The sequence below is a fragment of the Homo sapiens genome, chromosome 12 (genome assembly GCF_000001405.40).
Source record: "Homo sapiens chromosome 12, GRCh38.p14 Primary Assembly".
Classification (NCBI taxonomy): domain Eukaryota; kingdom Metazoa; phylum Chordata; class Mammalia; order Primates; family Hominidae; genus Homo; species Homo sapiens.
The window spans coordinates 64,304,765-64,324,122 of NC_000012.12; the positions used below are offsets into that span (position 1 = coordinate 64,304,765).

At 41.4% G+C, this 19,358-nt stretch overlaps 1 protein-coding gene across 7 annotated transcripts in view, besides 1 other annotated feature; it reads right to left on the bottom strand.

The window, feature by feature from the left end:
• Positions 1 to 19,358, bottom strand: part of C12orf56 (chromosome 12 open reading frame 56) — a 125,997-nt gene that overhangs the window by 40,003 nt on the left and 66,636 nt on the right. For 6 of the 7 annotated variants that reach the window (NM_001170633.2, XM_047428257.1, XM_024448831.2 and 3 more), the window contains exons 4-5: positions 13,811 to 14,216; positions 7,915 to 7,988 (exon numbers count right to left, since the gene is read on the bottom strand). The exons of the other annotated variant lie outside the window; for it this stretch is intronic. In NM_001170633.2, the coding sequence (NP_001164104.1) occupies positions 7,915 to 7,988; positions 13,811 to 14,216 (480 nt within the window). The remainder of the gene's footprint in view (positions 1 to 7,914; positions 7,989 to 13,810; positions 14,217 to 19,358) is intronic. 7 annotated transcript variants of the gene reach the window in all.
• Positions 14,758 to 15,336: an enhancer, noted in NCBI's record as "H3K27ac-H3K4me1 hESC enhancer chr12:64713302-64713880 (GRCh37/hg19 assembly coordinates)". NCBI's record gives its function as "activates a minimal SCP1, AML or CMV promoter by ChIP-STARR-seq in primed H9 embryonic stem cells {active_cell/tissue: H9 hESC(primed)}" and the evidence as "EXISTENCE:reporter gene assay evidence [ECO:0000049][PMID:30033119]".

The window sequence follows — 19,358 nt, forward strand, 5'->3', positions numbered from 1 at the left end:
GCTGGCTCCACTGTGGGGACCGAGCTGGGAATTACTAACGCATTTTACAGGAAGTTGTGGGGGGGTTTAAGTAACCTGTCCAAGCTCACACAACCAGTGATTCAGAGAGCCAGGGTGCAAGGTAACAGTAGGAAAGATAGTTCATGTTCTATGTAGATTGATGGAATCTTAAAATTTCTGACTTGAAGTAAAAACATTTTTTACCACTTACTCCAGTAACCTGTACCAGCCGTTTATCCCAATACTAGCTACTGCATGGAATGTTGGTACTTGCCTACTACCTCCCCCTTTATTTAAAAAACATCTAAGATGTTCTCCTTTGTCCAATCAATGAGTCGCTCTTATTAACCTGAAAATTAAGACTTCTGAAAAAAAAATGGTCTCTTTTCTAGCGGAGATGCTGGAGGGAAACTGATCATTATGAATTCAATAATAGCAGAGAGGCAGAGGAGCATAATGATTATGAAAATGAAGACTGAGGTCAGAATCCTAGATCTACCCCTACTCAGTTAGGTCATTATCATGGGCAAGTTACATAGCTTCTTTGTGCTTCAATTTCCTCATGTGTAAAATAGGAATAATGATAGTACCTATCCAAATGTGCTGGGTTTTTTGTTTGTTTGTTTGTTTGTTTTGAGATAGTGTCTCACTCTGTCACCCAGGCTGGAGTGCAGTGGCGTGATCTTGGCTCACCGCAACCTCCGCCTCCTGAGTTCAAGCTATTCTCCTGCCTCAGTCTCCTGGGTAGCTGGGATTACAGGCGAGCACCACCATACCCAGCTAATTTTTTGTATTTTTAGTAGAGATGAGGTTTCACCATGTTGGCTGGGCTGGTCTCAAACTCCTTACCTCAGGTAATCCACCCACCTCTGCCTCCCAAAGTGCTGGGATTACAGGCGTGAGCCACTACGCCCGGCCAAATGTGCTATTTTGATATTTTAGTTAATGCATGTCTTCATACACACTAAGTGTTTGATAAACGGTCTCTAAATAAAACAGGAATAAGTTTGAGATCCTGCTTCCCTATCCACTTCTAATTACCACCATATTTCATTTAAAAAGTAACTATGAAATCCCTCTATTCTCTGAGAACTCCAACAACAGAAATGTAGTTTTTACAAACAAAAGAGCTTAGAAAAGCAAAAGCTCAGATAAGATACAATATCAGCAGAATTATTTTGAAATTGATTTTCCTGTTTTTTCATTTGGAGTCAGCAATTTGCTAAGATCCGCAACAAAAATAAACTGTTTTTAATCCTTTGCCAACTAGGATAATAGATTGTAATGCCAAACTAATTTTTTTTAATGGCCAAAAAAATTTTCACAGAAAACAGCATACTAATCTCTTCAGACTAAAAATCAATTCATACATAAATGGAGGTCTCATATACATCATAAATTCAAGTTAGAGTACATATTCTATATTACTGCAGAAAAGTTATGAATAATAATTTCTTTGAGGATTCAGAAAATATTAGCTTATACATAGATGACAAACTTCATTTGACTGAAGAAATAAGAAAAAGCCAAATGCCAGGAGACTCCATTATTCAACTTAGGAATAAGAGGAAAATCTATACTAATGTTAACAGATACTCTATTTTCATCAAGTAGAAAACATAAATTCAGCAAAATAGTGTTGCAGGAAGGTTTTGTTTTTTTTTTTTTTTTTAGACAGAGTCTTCTTCTGTCACCCAGGCTGGGTTCAAGCGATTCTTGTGCCTCCTGAGAGTAGCTGGGACTACAAGTGCGTACCACCACACCCGGTTAATTTTTGTACTTTTAGTAGAGACAAAGTTTTGCCCTGTTGCTCAGGCTGGTCTCAAACTCCTGACCTCAAGTAATCCGCCCACCTCAGCCTCTGAAAGTGCTGAGATTACAGGCGTGAGCCACTACTCCCAGCCGCAGGAAAGATTCTTAATCTAATAACAAGCTTTATTTTTCCTGTATTTTTTCATCTTTCCAGACATTTACTATAAATAATACCTCACATTTGTAAAGCACTGGAAAGGCTCTTCCTATATTATCTCAAAAGCACTGTGTATGATTTTCACAGTGGTCAGCTTGCAGAACCATCCCATCTGTGACACAGTTCTAAATTGAAAACCTAAAGGATGTTTATTCCTTTTAAACTGAAGATGCCTTGCAGGTAGGGGCTATTTCTTGTGTATCACTGCATCTTTCACAGTGCATTTGAAATCATGGCATTTTAAGTATATTGCCTTCAGGAATTAACTTAGTAATAAATATGATTTTCCTGAGCCGAGAGAGTGGTAGAACTCATCCTTCTTGCCTTCAGGAATAAATTTCAAGCCACACACACACAGAATTTGAGTCTGTTTTATTACACAATTAGCTTTAAAATCACTTTAAATAAAATACCAAAATGAAAACTGATGCTTTTTTTAGAGTAAACGTATGAAAACCTATAGAAATTTTAAGCTATCCATATAACTTTTTAAAAAAGAAATCCTAAATATTATGTCACTTAATTCTTACATACCTCAGAATGTATCTCTAAATAAAATGAATACTTTCTTACAAAATGATTATCACACCCTACAAAATTATCAAACATTCTTTGGTATTGCTGATAGTCAGTCCTTTTTTTTTTTTTTTTTTTGAGACGGAGTCTTGCTCTGTCACCCAGGCTGGAGTGCCGTGGCACAATCTCGGCTCACTGCAACTTCTACCTCCCAGGTTCAAGCAATTCTCCTACCTCAGCCTCCCAAGTAGCTGGGATTACAGGCACACACCACCATGCCTGTCTAATTTTTGTATTTTTGTAGAGACAGGGTTTCACCATGTTGGCCAGGCTGGTCTTGAACTCCTGACCTCAAACGATCTGCCCGCCTCAGCCTCCCAAAGTGCTGGGATTACAGGCGTGAGCCACCTCGCCCGGCCAGACTCAGACCATTTTCAAATTGTTCTACTGACTTAAAAATGTGTTTTTACAGCTGGGCGTGGTGGCCCAGGGGTGCAAATCCCAGCACTTTGGGAGGCCAAGGTGGGAGGATTGTTTAAACCCAGGAGTTCCAGACCAGCCTGGGCAATATAACCAGACCCCATCTCAATAAATAAATAAATAAATTAATTAATTAATTAGCCAGCCATGGTAGTGTGCACCTGTAGTCCCAGCTACTCAGGAGGCTGAGGTGGAAGGATTGCTTGAGCCCAGGAGGTCGAGGCTGCAGTGAGCTGTGATCAAGCCACTTCACTCCAGCCTTGGTGACAGAGTAAGACCCTCTCTCAAAAGTAAATAAAATATAAACGGCTGGGCGCGGTGGCTCGTGCCTGTAATCCTAGCACTTTAGGAGGCCCAGGCAGGTGGATTGCCTGAGCTTAGGATTTCGAGACCAGCCTGGGCAACATGGCAAAACCCAGTCTCTACTAAAAAACTACACAAAATTAGCCAGGCATGCTGGTGCACATCTGTAGTCCCAGCTACTCAGCAGGCTGAGGCATGAGAATTGCTCGAGCCTGGGAGGTGGAAATTGCAGTGAGCCAAGATCATGCCACTGTACTACAGCCTGAGCGATAGTGGAAGACCCTGTATCAATAAATACATACATACATACATACATAAATACATAAATAAAACATAAAAATGTTTTCTTAGTTTTGGTTTGTTAAAATCAAGACTAAATAAGATATTTCTTATATTTGCTTGTTATGTTTCTTAAGTCTTTCAAAAAATTTTTTTCTATATCACATCATCAAGCAATAAAATTTTTTATTATGGAAATTTTCAAACATACATCAAAATGGAGAAAATTTTATAAGAAATCCCATGTACCCAGCTGGGCGGTGGCTCATGTCTGTAATCCCAGCACTGTGGGAGGCCAAGGCAGGCAGATCACCTGAGGTCAGTCATTCGAGACCAGCCTGGCCAACATGGTGAAACCCTTTCTCTATTAAAAACACAAAAATTAGCAGGGCGTGGTGGTGCATGCCTGTAATCCTGGCTACTCAGGAGGCTAAGGCAGGAGAATTGCTTGAACCCGGGTGGTGGAGGTTGCAGTGAGCCGAGATGGTGCCATTACACTCCACCTTGGGCAACAGAGCAAGACTCCATCTCAAAAAAAAAAGAAAGAAAGAAAGAAAAGAAAGAAAGAAACAGAAAGGAAGAAAGAAAGAAAGAAAGAAAGAAAGAAAGAAAGAAAGAAAGAAAGAAAGAAGAAAGAAAGAAAGAAAGAAAGAAAGAAAGAAAAGAAAGAAAGAAAAGAAAGAAGGAAAGAAAGAAGAAATCCCATGTACCCATCACCTTGCTCTAATAATTTTCAATATTTTGCCAATCTTGTTTTATCTGTTCTCTTACATACACATACAAACACACATATATACTTTTTAAAAAAATTGAACTAAAATTATATAACAAAGTTTCCCATCATATCCATTTTTAGGTGTACAATTCAGTGGCATTAAGTTAATTCACAATGTTCTACAAGTATCACCACTATCCATTTCCAGAACTTTTTCATCTTTCCAAACAGAAATTCTATACCCATTAAACAGTAACTCTCCCTTCACCACTCTCCCCAACCCCGGAGACCTCTATTCTATTTTCTGTCTCTATAAATTTGCCTATTTTAGGTACCTCACATAAGTGAAATCATATATTTGCCCTTTTGTATCTGGCTTATTTCACTTAGCATGATGTCTTCAAGGTTCATCCATGTGGTAGTAGCAGAATTTACTTCCTTTTTAAGACTAGCATACTCACACTGTTTTTTTGTTTGTTTGTTTGTTTGTTTGTTTGTTTTTGAGATGGAGTCTCACTCTGTTGCCCAGGCTGTGGTGCAGTGGTGCCATCTCAGCTCACTGCAGCCTCTGCCTCCCAGGTTCAAGTGATTCTCATACCTCAGCCTCCCAAGTAGCTGGGATTACAGGCATGTGCCACCACACCAGGCTAATTTTTGTATCTTTAGTAGAGACAGGGTTTCGCCCTATTGGCCAGGCTGGTCTCAAACTCCTGGCCTCAAGTGATCCTCCCTCCTCGGCCTCCCAAAGTGCTGGGATTATAGGTGTGAGCCACTGCACCCGGCTTATCATACTCACACTTTTGAGTCAGATTCAGGTTTAACCGTTTTAACAAAAATACTTCATAGGTGGTGCTGTGTATTTTATATTACATCAAATAATGAGGCACACAAAGTCTGGCTGTCTCACTGAAGTGATACTAAGACAAATCAATGGATTTAGTTATTTACAACATGATCCCTCCATTTTAAAGTTCCACTTCACCTTTTTTTTTTAAATCTCTTTTTCTTTTAGAAATGGTCTCTCTCTGTCACTCAGGCTGGAGTGCGGCGGTGCAATCGCAGCTTATTACAGCCTCCACCTCCCAGGCTCAAGTGATCCTCCTACCTCAGCCTCTCAAGTAGCTGGGACCACAGGCACACCTGGCATTTTTAAATTTTTTTGTAGAGATGAGGTCTCACTATGTTGCCTAGGCTGGTCTCAAACTCCTGGGCTCAAGCGATCCTCCCACTTCGGTCTCCCAAAGTGCTGGGATTACAGGCATGAGCCACCATACCTGGCCCCACTTCACCTCTCTGTCTAATGGTTTCATCCACTGAAGATTGTTAAATGAATCTGTCATTTCATTACAGGCTACATAAATTGTAATTTTCTAATTCTATTAAGCCTTCCGCATTCACTAGCTGGAATTCTATACAATGAAATTTGCACTCATCATCTAGGGCTACTTGGTTATCCTGAACTCGTTACGGTTCATGGAGGAAAGGAAGAATATATTAAATTTTTTCCATTTGTTTGATGATTTGCAGAGTAATGAATTGGTGCCCTATTTTTTTCTAATGTTACATGTGTTTTATTTCCTTGCAGGTGGGGAGGGAGGGCCCTCTCTCTATCATGCATCATTATACACTTCTGAATTTTTATATATTCATTATGTTTCAGTCATCTCATTTCTTATTTTTTTCTTCTTCTTTCTTTATTTTTTTTTATTATACTTTAAGTTCTAGGGTACATGTGCAAACGTGCAGGTTTGTTACATATGTATACATGTGCCATGTTGGTGTGCTGCACCCATTAACTCGTCGTTTACATTAGGTATATTTCCTAATGCTATCCCTCCCCCCTTCCCCCACCCCACAACAGGCCCTGGTGTATGATGTCCCCCTTCCTGTGTCCAAGTGTTCTCATTGTTCAATTCCCACCTATGAGTGAGAACATGTAGTGTTTGGTTTCTCGTCCCTGCAATAGTTTGCTCAGAATGATGGTTTCCAGCTTCATCCATGTCCCTACAAAGGACATGAACTCATCATTTTTTATGGCTGCATAGTATTCCATGGTGTATATGTGCCACATTTTCTTAATCCAGTCTATCATTGTTGGACATTTGGGTTGGTTCCAAGTCTTTGCTATTGCCAGGCGTGGTGGCTCATGCCTGTAATCCCAGCACTTTGGGAGGCTGAGGGGAGAGGATCACAAGGTCAGGAGTTCGAGACCAGCCTGGCCAACATGGTGAAACTCAGTCTCTACTAAAAATAAAAAAATTAGCCGGGCATGGCTACTCGGGAGGCTGATGCAGGGGAACTGCTTGAACCTGGGAGGCAGAGGTTACAGTGAGCCAAGATCGCTCCACTGCATTACAGCCTGGGCAACAGAGCAAGACTTTGTCTCAAAAAAAAAAAACAAAAACAGAAAGAAAAAAAAAGTGTGAACACAGGACGTTATGGAGGAGCCCCTCCTAACTTAGTTCTGGAGTGTCAAGAAAGATTTTTAGAGAAAATGATAAATAAGCTGAGACTTGATGAGTTGAAGTTATTCAGGAAGAGGAAGAAGAGTACAGTAGTGTTCCAGAAGAGGGGCCATCATGATAGGCCCCAGAGGGAAGAGAACAGGGAGCTTCCTGAGAATTGTGAGAAGTTCATTTGGAGCAGGAGCTTAGGGCAAGAGTGAGGATGGACACAATGCTTGAGGAAAGAAAAATAAAAAGAGATGTCATACATATTTTTTGTACGCTGTTTAGACTTTCACCTAAGGGCAATGGGAAGCCATTCAAAGGCTTCCCGGGAGGAATTACATGATCAGATTTGTGCTTCCGAAAGATTCTTCTGTTGTAATGGAGAATGGGCTGGAGAGGAGCAAGAGTGAAGGCAGAGAGACCAGCTAGGAAAACACTGTAGGAGCTCAGAACTGAGATAACTGGGCATGAGCGAGTGACCATGGAAAGAAGTGGATGTTATCCAGAGATAGTAAAGGCGCAATAAATAAGGCATGTGATGACTGGCTGGATGCTGGAAATGGTGAAGGGGAGAGAGGAGGCAAGGGTGATTTCTAGGACTCTGGCTGAGGTGATCTAGGGATAATGACATCATTCCCTGTGTTAGGAAGCACAAGAGGAAAGTCAGGTTGCAGAGGGAAGATGCTGAGTTCTCTTTTAATATGTTGACTTTAACGTTCCTATGAGACATACAAAAGATGTCCAGTGGATACCTGTGTTTGCAGACTTAACCGTCAGGGCAGGCAGATGAGGTAAAGGTATAACTGTGATAGCCACACATACAACACAGAGTTAGGGGAGGCAAAGAGGGCCGGGCACGGTGGCTCGCACATGCAATCCCAGCACTTTGGGAGGCCAAGGCAGGAGGATCACCTGAGGTCAGTCCAATCTAACCGACCTGGCCAACATGGCGAAACTCCTGTCTCCACTAAAAAATACAAAAATTAGCCAGGTTTGGTGGCGGGCGCCTGGAGTGCTAGCTACTTAGGAGGCTGAGGCAGGAGAATCTCTTGAGCCCAGGAGGTAGAGGTTGCAGTGAGCCAAGACTGTGCCACTGCACTCCAGCCTGGGAAACAGAGTGAGACTCAGTTTCAAAAAAAAGGAGAGGCAAAGAGGAGAGAAAAATTCCCCATGCAACTCTATCATACATCATCACTTCTTACCTATATGGCTTTTGACTTCCAATAGCAGGACTGAACTCACTAGCATAGAAGGGATCTTGTAAAAGAGTAGCTTTCTGAAAAAGGAAAAAGTAGAAATTGTTAGAATTTTTATTTACTGAAGATCAATTCCCCCTACCTTTAGTCAATGTTATGTATCTATTCTTTAAGCCCTCCTATAGTACACGATTTGTTTATAAAACTCATTCTAGTGTTTAATAATACCACAGGGAATTTTTTTCTTATCCAGTTTTTAAAAAGTTTTAAATATAACACTTGCTCATTATAAAATGAAATTATTTAGGCCGGGTGCGGTGGCTCATGCCTGTAATCCCAGCACTTTGGGAGGCCGAGGCAGGCAGATCACAAGGTCAGGAGATTGAGACCATCCTGGCTAACACTGTGAAACCCCATCTCTACTAAAAATACAAAAAAAATTAGCCGGGCATGGTGGCAGGTGCCTGTAGTCCCAGCTACTCGGGAGGCTGAGGCAGGAGAATGGCATGAACCCGGGGGGCGGAGCTTGCAGTGAGCAGAGATCACACCACTGCATTCCAGCCTCTGCAACAGAGCGAGACTCTGTCTCAAAAAAAAAAAAAAAAGAAAGAAAGAAAGAAAGAAAGAAATTATTTATCAAAATCACACAGTTTAGATAAAGTAAAATATAAAATTCTCTGTTTTTCCCTACCCCTTCCATCCCACTATGCAAAGTGTCTGATCATGAAGCCAGGTACCATGGCTTGTACCTGTAGTCTCAGCTACTTCGGAGGCTGAGGCAGGTGGATCAAAAGAGTCCAGGAGTTGGAGGCTGCAGTGAGCTATGATTGTGCCACTACACTCCAGCCTGGGCAACAGAGCAAGACCTTGTGTCTAAAATTTTTAAAAGTATCTATCGTCTGTTTGGTTTAGGTCCTTCCAGGCATATAAAGACATATGAATTATAAACACATAAATTTATAGTATTTATATATTTTTATAATATATATTTAATCCTAAATTATATCGCATATATTAATCTGGAACTTGATTTAACTTAATATATGGTGGATGGTTTTTCATGTCTGTGTATATAGATTTACCGATTTACAGCCCGGCCCAGTGGCTCACACCTGTAATTCCAGCATTTTGGGAGGCCAAGGTGGGCGGATCACGAGGTCAGGAGTTCGAGACAAGCCTGGTCAACATGGTGAAACCCCATCTCTACTAATAATACAAAAATTAGCCAGGCATGGTGGCACATGCCTGTAATCCCAGCTACTCGGGAGGCTGAGGCAGGAGAATCGCTTGAACCTGGGAGGCAGAGGTTGCCGTGAGCCAAGATCACACCATTGCACTCCAGCCTGGGCAACAAGAGCAAAACTCTGTCTCAAAAAAAAAAAAAAAAAAAAAAAGATTTACCGATTTACTTCAATTTTTTTTTTTTCTTATGAGACAGGGTCTCACTCTGTCACCCAGGTTGGAGTACAGTGGCATGATCATACCTCACTGCAGCCTCAAACTCCTGAGCTCAAGCAGTCCTCCTGCCTCAGCCTCCTGAATAGCTAGGACTACAGACATGTTCTACCTTGCCAGGCCAATTTTTTACTTTTTATTTTTTAGTAGAGATGGCGTCTTGCTATGTTGACCAGGCTGGTCTTGAACTCCTGGCCTCAAGCGATCCTCCCCTCTGAACCTCCCAAAGTGCTAGGATTACAGGCATAAGCCACTGCATCCAACCAATATCAATTCTTTTAATGATTATTTAGTATTCCATAGCATAGATACACAACACTTTTGTTAACTATTTCCTTATTAATGGAGTTATTTTTCCTTAAACCTTTAGTGTTGCCATTTCTCATTTATTCTGGGTCCTCAAAATAGTCATACAGTGTTCAGCAATTTCTCTAAATAATCTTTTATTTATGTTGAGGCTTAAGACAGGTCAGAAGGAATTTCTCAAATGTTGTTGATTTGACACTGCAGACAAGCTTTTTTTTTTTTTGAGACGGAGTCTCGCTCTGTCAGTCTGGAGTGCAGTAGCGCCATCTCGGCTCACGGCAACATCCGCCTCCCAGGTTCAAGCGATTCTCCTGCCTCAGTCTCCCGAGTAGCTGGGACTATAGGCGCCCGCCACCACGCCCGGCTAATTTTTTCTATTTTTTAGTAGAGACGGGGTTTCACCGTGTTAGCCAGGAAGATCTCGATCTCCTGACCTCCTGATCCGCCCGCCTCGGCCTCCCAAAGTGCTGGGATTACAGGAGTGAGCCACCGCATCCGGCCAGCTTTTTTTTTTTTTTTTTTTTTTTTTTTTTTTGAGACGGAGTTTAGCTCTTGTTGCCCAGGCTGGAGTGCAGTGGCACGATCTTGGCTAACTGCAACCTCCGCCTCCCAGGTTCAAGCAATTCTCCTGCCTCAGCTTCCTGAGTAACTGGGATTCCAGGCGCCCACCACCACGGCCAGCCAATTTTTGTATTTTTAGTAGAGACGGGGTTTCACCATGTTGTCCAGGCTGGTCTCAAACTCCTGACCTCAGGTGATCCAACTGCCTCAGCCACCCAACCTGTCTTGTGCTTAATATCAGAGTGGTGTAGTGGGTGGATGGTGGCAAGGGAGATATGTGCTTTTTCTTACTACTTTTGTCATTGTTCTACGTTTTTTTTTTTTTTTTTAAAGCAGCCTTTCTTCCCTCTCCAAATATTTACATTTTCCTTAAATCCAGAATTTTAATTTGGGGTATCCCATATTTAGCTTTGTAGCAGCTATCTTCACAATGTATACAAGGCAAGGAATTACCACATTTCATCTTTACAGAATTTAAGGCGCTAAACAACCTACGTGTAACTATTTTTGGTGAAAGTTACATATAAAATGGATTACTGAAGGAGGCTCAACTCTTTGGAAACTCTTAAAATCAGGATGAGTGCTGATAATTTCTAATTAGATGGTTTGGGTTAATTTTATCTAAAAGTACAGAGAAAGTTAAAATGTGTAATGTGGCCGGGCACAGTGGCTCACCCCTGTAATCCTAGCACTTTGGGAGGCCGAGGCAGGCAGATCACCTGAAGTCAGGAGTTCAAGACCAGCCTGGCCAACATGGCGAAACCCTGTCTCTACTAAAATACAAAAATTAGAAGAGGATGGTGGCGCATGCTTGTAATCCCAGCTACTGGAGAGGCTGAGGCAGGAGAATCAATTGAACCCGGGAGGCAGAGGTTGCAGTGAGCCAAGATCGCACCATTGCAAGCCAGCCTGGGCAACAAGAGTGAAACTCCACCTCAAAAAAAAAAAAAAAAAAGTGTTTATATTGAACTAGTAGCTTATTGTTAGTAGAATGAATTCTAACCCGATTTCTCACTTACGTGTGAAATATTTGGTTATTCATTTTCCATCTTTCAAGGAAGAGATAGAACATTATTGTAATTTTTAAAACTTATTTATTTTTTTAATTTTATTTTATATATTTTTTTTCAGACAGAGTCTCACTGTATTACACAGGCTGGAGTGCAAGTGGCACAATCTTGGCTCACTGCAACCTCCGCCTCCCAGGCTTAAGTAATCCTCATCTCAGCCTCCCGAGTACATGCAGGCCATGTTCCTGGCTAATTTTTTTGTATTTTTTGTAGAGATGGGATTTCACCCATCTCTGTTGTCCAGGCTGGTCTCTAATTCCTGAGCTCAGGTGATCCACCCACTTCAGCCTCCGAAAGTGCTGGGATTATGGGCATGAGGCACCACGCCTGGCCTTACTTTTTATTTTAGAGATGGAGTCTTGCTTATTGCCCAGGATGGAGTGCAGTAGTGTGCAGCAGAGCTTCTAACTCCTGGGCTCAAACGATCCTGCTGTCTCAGCCTCTGGAGTAACTAGTACTATAGGTGCTACTACACCACACCTGGCTAAGAGAACGTTATTTTCAATGATAGTGTCTACCAACTCATAAAGATAGTCTTCCTCCACCCACATTTATTTCAATGGTCATAGAAAAAAAAATCAGACTACCTAGATTCAAATCCCAGCTCTACACTAGCTATGTGACTTTGCACATATCATTTAATTTCTCTGTGCCTCAATTTCCTCATCTATAAAATGGGAATAACAGTCCTACCTCATAGGGTTGTTGTAAAAATTAAATAAGTTAATATCCATGAAGCATCAGGCTCCGTTCTATTGTTATTTTCTAGTAGGAAATTAACAATAGATATTAGTTATTGTTATTGCATAGACTATTTATAGCTTAGCAGGTAATGAGTCCGCCAATCTGAATGCTCCAACCATGCATCTGCTGCATAATTTAAAAGTATTGCTAAAACCTGAAGCTGGGCAATTCAGGGAAGCATAAACAGTTATTTTGAAGTATTCACATAGATTTTTTAAAGTCAGGTAAGTTTTGGCTTTTCTATTAGAATATATGAGATCTTTTTTTAATACACCAGAGCTTTCCTCTATTTGTAATTTGTTTACATTTTTAATTTAAAGAAAGCCATTTAAAAATTTAGAAAGGAATTTTAAATGTTTGAAGTCTTCCAAACAGTGGTATGAGAAAAAAATTAAGGGTTGTCCTGTAATTTTTCATAATTTTTAGCCGTTTATAAAACCCTGGCTTCCTAGTTTCTTCTATCTGAAATAGCCCTTTATAATTATTATTATTATGTTGAAAGATCAATAATAAAAATTATGTACTACTGAAGATAAAGGGATTGTATTACTCTTTTAATAATTACTTATTTTTTAAATGAATTCTAACAAAAAGGTCCCTAAATGGGAGTTCTGACTCTGTCCCTAAAGTTATATAATCTTGAGTAAATCACTTAAAAATTTTGTGTTTCGGCCAGGCGTGGTGGCTCACGCCTGTAATCCCAGCCTTTGGGAGGCCGAGGTGGGCGGATCACCTGAGGTCGGGAGTTCGAGACCAGCCTGCCCAACATGGCAAAACCCCGTCTCTACCAAAAATACAAAAATTAGCCGGGCGTGGTGGTGGGCAACTGTAATCCCAGCTACTCAGGAGGCTGAGGCAGGAGAATTGCTTGAATCCAGGAGGTAGAGGTTTCAGTGAGCCGAGATCACACCACTGCGCTCCAGCCTGGGTGACAAGAGCGAAACTCCATCTCAAAAGAAAAAAAAAAAGATTGCATTTCAGTTTCTTCATTTATAAAATAAGGACTTAACCTAGTGATTTCTAGACAAATTTATCTGATCCTATAACAAGGTCTCCCCCATCAACCCACTTTCAATAGCACAGCTAAGCAATACAGAATCATACTGACAACGTTGAACCTTACCTGAGGTCTCTGTCACCCCAGCAACTGCAAAAGACCACCTGCTCACACATATTCCAGGATAAGACTTGTCTCCCTCCTTCTTCATGACTTCCATGACTCACCTTACCTACCTCTACAAAACCCCAGGTGATTTTTGTTTGTTTTTTTGAGATGGAGTCTTCCTCTGTCGCCCTGGAGTGCAGTGGTGCAATCTCAGCTCACTGCAATTAAACTCCGCCTCTGGAGTTTAATTGATTCTCATGCCTCAGCCTCCCAAATAGCTGGGATTACCGGCGCGCACCACCACATCCGGCTAATTTTTGTATTTTTTAGTAGCGACAAGGGTTTCACCATCTTGGCCAGGCTGGTCTCGAATTTCTGACCTCAAGAGATCCATCCACCTCGGCCTCCCAAAGTGCTGGGATTACAGGAATGAGCCACCATGCCCGTCCAGAAACTGCTCATTAATGAGCATTTTTCCCTATTGCAATCGCCTAAATAAAATCATCTCCTTAATTGTTCAGTACATTTTGTTTTTCACAATATTATTAAATTCCAAGGCTAAATTTCCAAAATGGGAGGTAAAGGAGGGAGGAGGGCTTGTTTGCTCTAAAAAATAAAAATATAAAAATTCAGGTTAAGGTTAACTTAGGAGGACACTTACTATAATATAATTGTTCCATGAACTTTTTAAGTGCAGAAATATTGATGAGGTTGTGGAAATAACATACAAATGAAGTTCTGACTCCTTTTTCTCTAAATTTGAGTTGCTCTGTGAAGGGGAATCTAAGAGGGAATTTCCTAAGTAAAACTCATTTCCATTCCCATTGCACTTGAAAGGAATTTCACTTATGGAGTTGTGATCTGGAAGTCCCTGGGGTTCTTTTGTGTTTGTTGTGCAAGATGGCTCGCTGACAGCCTTGCCAGTTGTTGGTGCAGACTGAGAGCTCCTCCTGGAGGGGGAAGGTAGGGGTCGAAAGGCACCTTGGCCATGAAGGGACAGCTTTTTGAGGCCTGGACGAGGACAGAGAGTTGAGTCCTTGGATGGTGTACTGCTCTCCTGCTGGTCCCTGTCAGGTAGAATTTAGTATTAAACATGACATGCAAAATTTCACAGTAAGCAACAAAGAGAACCGGTAGTTTAAGACTGAACACAAATGTTTTCTCACAAAAGGAATGCTTGTTAAAACAAGGAAGTCATTGAACCTCGCTGGTAATAACCCATTGACTAGAGGAGATTTGATACTGCAATCTTTTAGTATACGTTTCTGTTTTCAGAAATAAACTGTATTTCGGAAATACATTTTATTTCACAGAATGAAGCACTGTATATATTGAAAGTATTGTGCCTGTCCTTCATGGAGCCCTGATATTTCCACTGAAAGGACTTTTTAAGTTTTGAAACTTGATTGTCCTTTAATTGTACATTGCTAATGGATCCTATAAAGAAAAAACAATTCAAATAAGGATATGAAGAGAGGGGTTTTGTTTGTTTGTTTGTTTGAGACCGGGTCTCACTCTGTCACCCAGGTTGGAGTACAGTGGTGCCATCTGGGCTGTCTGTAACCTCCACCTCCCAGGCTCAAGTGATCCTCCCACCTCAGCCTCCTGAGTAGCTGGGACTACAGGCATGTGCCACTATGCCCAGCTAATTTTTGTATTTTTTTGTAGTGATGGTGAGACACAGGACTAGCTGGATTCCCTAGGCCGACTAAGAATCCCTAAGCCTAGCTGGGAAGGTGACCACTTCCACCTTTAAACACGGGGCTTGCAACTTAGCTCACACCCAACCAATCAGTAGTAAAGAGAGCTCATTAAAATGCTAATTAGGCAAAAACAGGAGGTAAAGAAATAGCCAGTCATCTATCGCCTGAGAGCACAGTGGGAGGGACAATGATCGGGATATAAACCCAGGCATTTGAGCCAGCAACAGCTACACTCTTTGGGTCCCCTCCCTTTTATGGGAGCTCTGTTTTCACTCTATTAAATCTTGCAACTGCACTGTCTTTTTGTCTGTTTGTTACGGCTCGAGCTGAGCTTTCGCTCCCCGTCCACCACTCCTGTTTGCCGCCTTGGCAGACCCGCCACTGACTTCCATCCCTCCGGATCCGGCAGGGTGTCCGCTGTGCTCCTGATCCAGTGAGACGCCCAGTGCCGCTCCCGAACGGGCTAAAGGCTTGCCATTGTTCCTGCACAGCTAAGTGCCCGGGTTCGTCCTAATGGAGCTGAACACTAGTTACTGGGTTACGCGGTTCTCTTCCGTGACCCACGGCTTCTAATAGAGCTATAACACTCACCACATAGCCCAAGATTCCATTCCTTGGAATCCATGAGGCCAAGAACCCCAGGTCAGAGAACACAAGGCTTGCCACCATCTTGGAAGCGGCCTGCCTTCATCTTGGGAGCTCTGGGAGCAAGGACACCCCGGTAACAATGGGAACTCACTATGTTGCCCAGGCTGGTCTCAAACTCCTGGGCTCAAATGATCTGCCCACCTCTGCCTCCACCTCCCAAAGTGCTGGGATTACAGGCCTGTGCCATTGTGCCTGGCCTGAGATTTTTTAAATGATGTTTTCTTTAATTCCCCTCCTGCTAATACTCTTCTGATTTTCCCAATAGCATCAGCACTTTTTTCAGAATCAATGCTGTGTCCTTTACTTTCCCTATTCTCTCCAGCTCACCATGACCTTTCTTTACTTTGCTGCACAAGAAAACAAGTTGGAGAAACTAAGAAGTTGCAGAGTATGGTGAGACCTAAATTCCAATCCTGGCTCTGCCACTTAATGGTTATGTGACCTTTGTTAAACAAAGTTGATGAGAGGCCATTGTTTTCAACTAGCCTCCTGCATGAGGCCCCAGCAGAACGGACCAAAACAGAAGGGAGTCCCTTGTGCTTAGTACCAGTAATCAAACTGAACTTGGAAACTGACCAGTTTTCCAGAAGAACAGATTCCACTCAACCTCAGTCAATAATGAAGTAGTGTCCTCTGTTTTAACCCTATAAGAACAGTAACTTTGAAACAAGCAATCCAATTTGTGCCTCATTTCAGCTTACTTCAGCCTTTCTCTGCCTATAAAGTCAACCTCCTCTGCTCAGCTTTTCAGACCACTTCTCCCACTTCTAGAATCACAAATAAAACTAAATCTATGCTTATTTTGTCTTTTGACATCTTAGTGGACCTAGGACTTCATTTCCTAATTTTAAAATAGAAACAATAATAGTACCCATCTCATAAGGTTTATGTGAGGATACATGCAATGAGTTTGCAAAACTGGAAACAATATGTGCAAGCTATTACTATTACCCTATATTGCCTTCAGTTGATGGTTTATCTTTTTTTTTATTTCAATAATTTTGAGGGGAAGTTTATCCTTTTACATTAAGTTATCTTCTCTCTCCCATAAGATTAGAACCTCCACGATAGTGGAAAACTACTTTGTTTTGTAGAGATGGGGGTCTCACTACATTGCCCAGGCTGGTCTTAAACTCCTGCCCTCAAGTGATCCTCCTGCCTCAGTCTCCCAAATTGCTGGGGTTACAGGCATGAGCCACTGTTCCCAGCTTGAAATCTCTCTTTTATTTTTACAAACTTAAAAATTTTTTGTAGAGATGGGGTCTCACTATGTTGCCAGGGCTGGTCTCAAACTCCTGGGTTCAAGCAATCCACCTGTCTCCGCCTCCCAAAGTGCTGGGATTACAGGTGTGAGCCACTGCACCCTGCCCCAGCCTACAATTTCTTAAGTGGAATGTTTAACTCATTTATTTTTTTAAACTCTCTTATTTCTTGGTGAATACAGTAAAAGCTGTAAATACAGCTTTAGAGCAGACCTCTAAAGTCTGCTTTAGCTCAGTTGCATGCACTTTGGTATGTATTGGCATTAAGTTCTAAGTATCTTTTAATTTCCTTTATTATTTTCAGCAGTTTGATCATGATGTGTTTGGATGTGGAATTTTTTTGAGTTTATCTTTTTGGGGGTTCACTGAGATTCTTGAACCTGTAAGTGTATATCTTTTACCAAATTTGGAGAATTTTCTGTCATTATTCCTCCAAATACTTTTTCTTTTCATTAATTTTTTTTTACATTTATTTAATTTATTATTATTATTATTATTTTTAGAGACAGAGTCTCACTATGTTACCCATGCTGGTTTTGAACTCCTGGGCTCAAGCGATCCTCTAGCCTAGGCCTCCCAAAGTGCTAGGATTACAGGCATGAGCCATTGTGCCTGGCTATTTTTCTGCACTATACTTTTTCTCCTCTCCTTCTAAGACTCTGAAGACATGAATACTAGATCTTTTTATACTGCCACACAGTACCCTGAGATTCTGTTTGTCTTTTCCTTCAATCTTTATTCTCTTTTGTTCGGACTAGATAATTTCTATTCATCTATCTTCAAATTCAGTGACTTTCCTCTGTCATCTCCATTCCAGCTATTGAGCCATTCAGTGAATTTTTAAAATTTCAGTTATTATAGTATGTTTTTCATTCTAAACTTTCCATTTGGTCCCTTTTTTATGTCTTCTATTTCTTGCTGAGACTTTCTGTCTTTCCATTTGCTTCAAAGGGGTTCATACTTACTTCTTAGAGCATGGTTATAACAGTTGCCTTAAAGTCTTTGGTTGAGCCAGGCATGGTGGCTCATGCCTGTAATCCCAGCACTTTGGGAGGCCGAGGTGGAAGGATCACTTGAGGCCCAGGAGTTCAAGACCAACCTGGCCAATATAGCGAGGCCCCATTTCTGATAACAACATCCTTCTTGTGGCCTGCAGCTTCTCATCATTAGGCCCAAAACATGGCACCTAGGAGGTGTTTCAAATCTCTGTACATGATAACATCCTTTAGTCCTCTACTTAGTGTTTTCTATCCCACCCTGCCTTTTGTTTAGGCTTCTAACTCAAATGTTTAATTATGGAGATGACAGTGCTAAAAAACTATGGGACAGTAGACCCAGCTCCCTCTTCACCCTCCTTTTTTTGGAAACTACTCCTCTCCTCTACAAACAGAGCACACAGAAGCTGCCATGTTTTTAAAGACCCTGATTTGTCGGCTGTGGTGAATATTTTTCAGCAGTGTGTCATTTATTCAAGCTGGGCAATCAGAGACTTTCTTCAGGATTTAAAAATTCAATACAAGTAAGTGTGTGAGTTAGCCTTTGTCTGGTGGTGGAAGCTGTAAAATGTGAATTTAAGACAGTCAGTGACTCGTGTGCTGCCCCATGGAGGATGTGGTGTTCAGGGAGAGAAGATGCAATTGACACACAAACATCAGAGAAGGAGACAGGGACTGAGTCCTGGGACACTCAAGCCCCCAGTTCCAGCTGTGTCTAAATTCCGTTCTTACCATTCCTACGTTCCCAGGATTCCATTTCTAAGCTTTACTGAGTTTGCTCACCATTGTATTCATACATTTAAAATAGAACACAGAGCCCAGCAATTCGAATATGCCAGATTAGACTGACAGAGAGATCTCTGTCTGTATCTATATCTTTATATATTTCCATTTCTAAATATATCTGTTGAATGAATACTGAATTTCATGAGTTGACGCAGTAATTCCAATAAATTCCCTTTTTAAACCTAAAATGCATTTCTGTCACTTTTAACAGAGTTTTAACCTCCACAGTAACCTAAAACAACTACTGCAAACATTTCCTTTTTTTTTTTTTGCCAAGACAGGGTCTTACTCTGTCACCCAGGCTGGAATGCAGTGGTGTGAGTAGCTTGGACTAGAGGGACATGCCACAAGCCCAGCTAATTTTTGCTTTTTTGTTTGTTTGTTTAAGAGATGGGGTTTCACCATGTTGCCCAGGCCGGTCTTAAACTCCTGGGCTCAAACAATCTACCCACCTTGGCCTCCCAAAGTGCTGGTATTACAGGCGTGAGCCATCATGCCCAGCTGCAAACATTAACTAAAAACCTCTTTTATTTTTCTAAATTGGAGGAAAACAATGGAACTCTCAAAGTATCCCAGAAATGTGGGGAATTACATGCTGAAATGAAGACTTGACTATGGGAGCATGTGGATGCCTATTCCTAGAACTGCCCCTCCTTCAATCCTTCCAATTACAAAGACCATGTTAAGAATTTCACTCAGTGCCCTGCTACAAGGCAGAGCCCTCCCCGCAGAAGCTCATAAGTCACATTCTTCAGGGCAATAATGGAAATACATAAACTCTGTCCAAACATGGTTTATTATTACATGGATTTAGA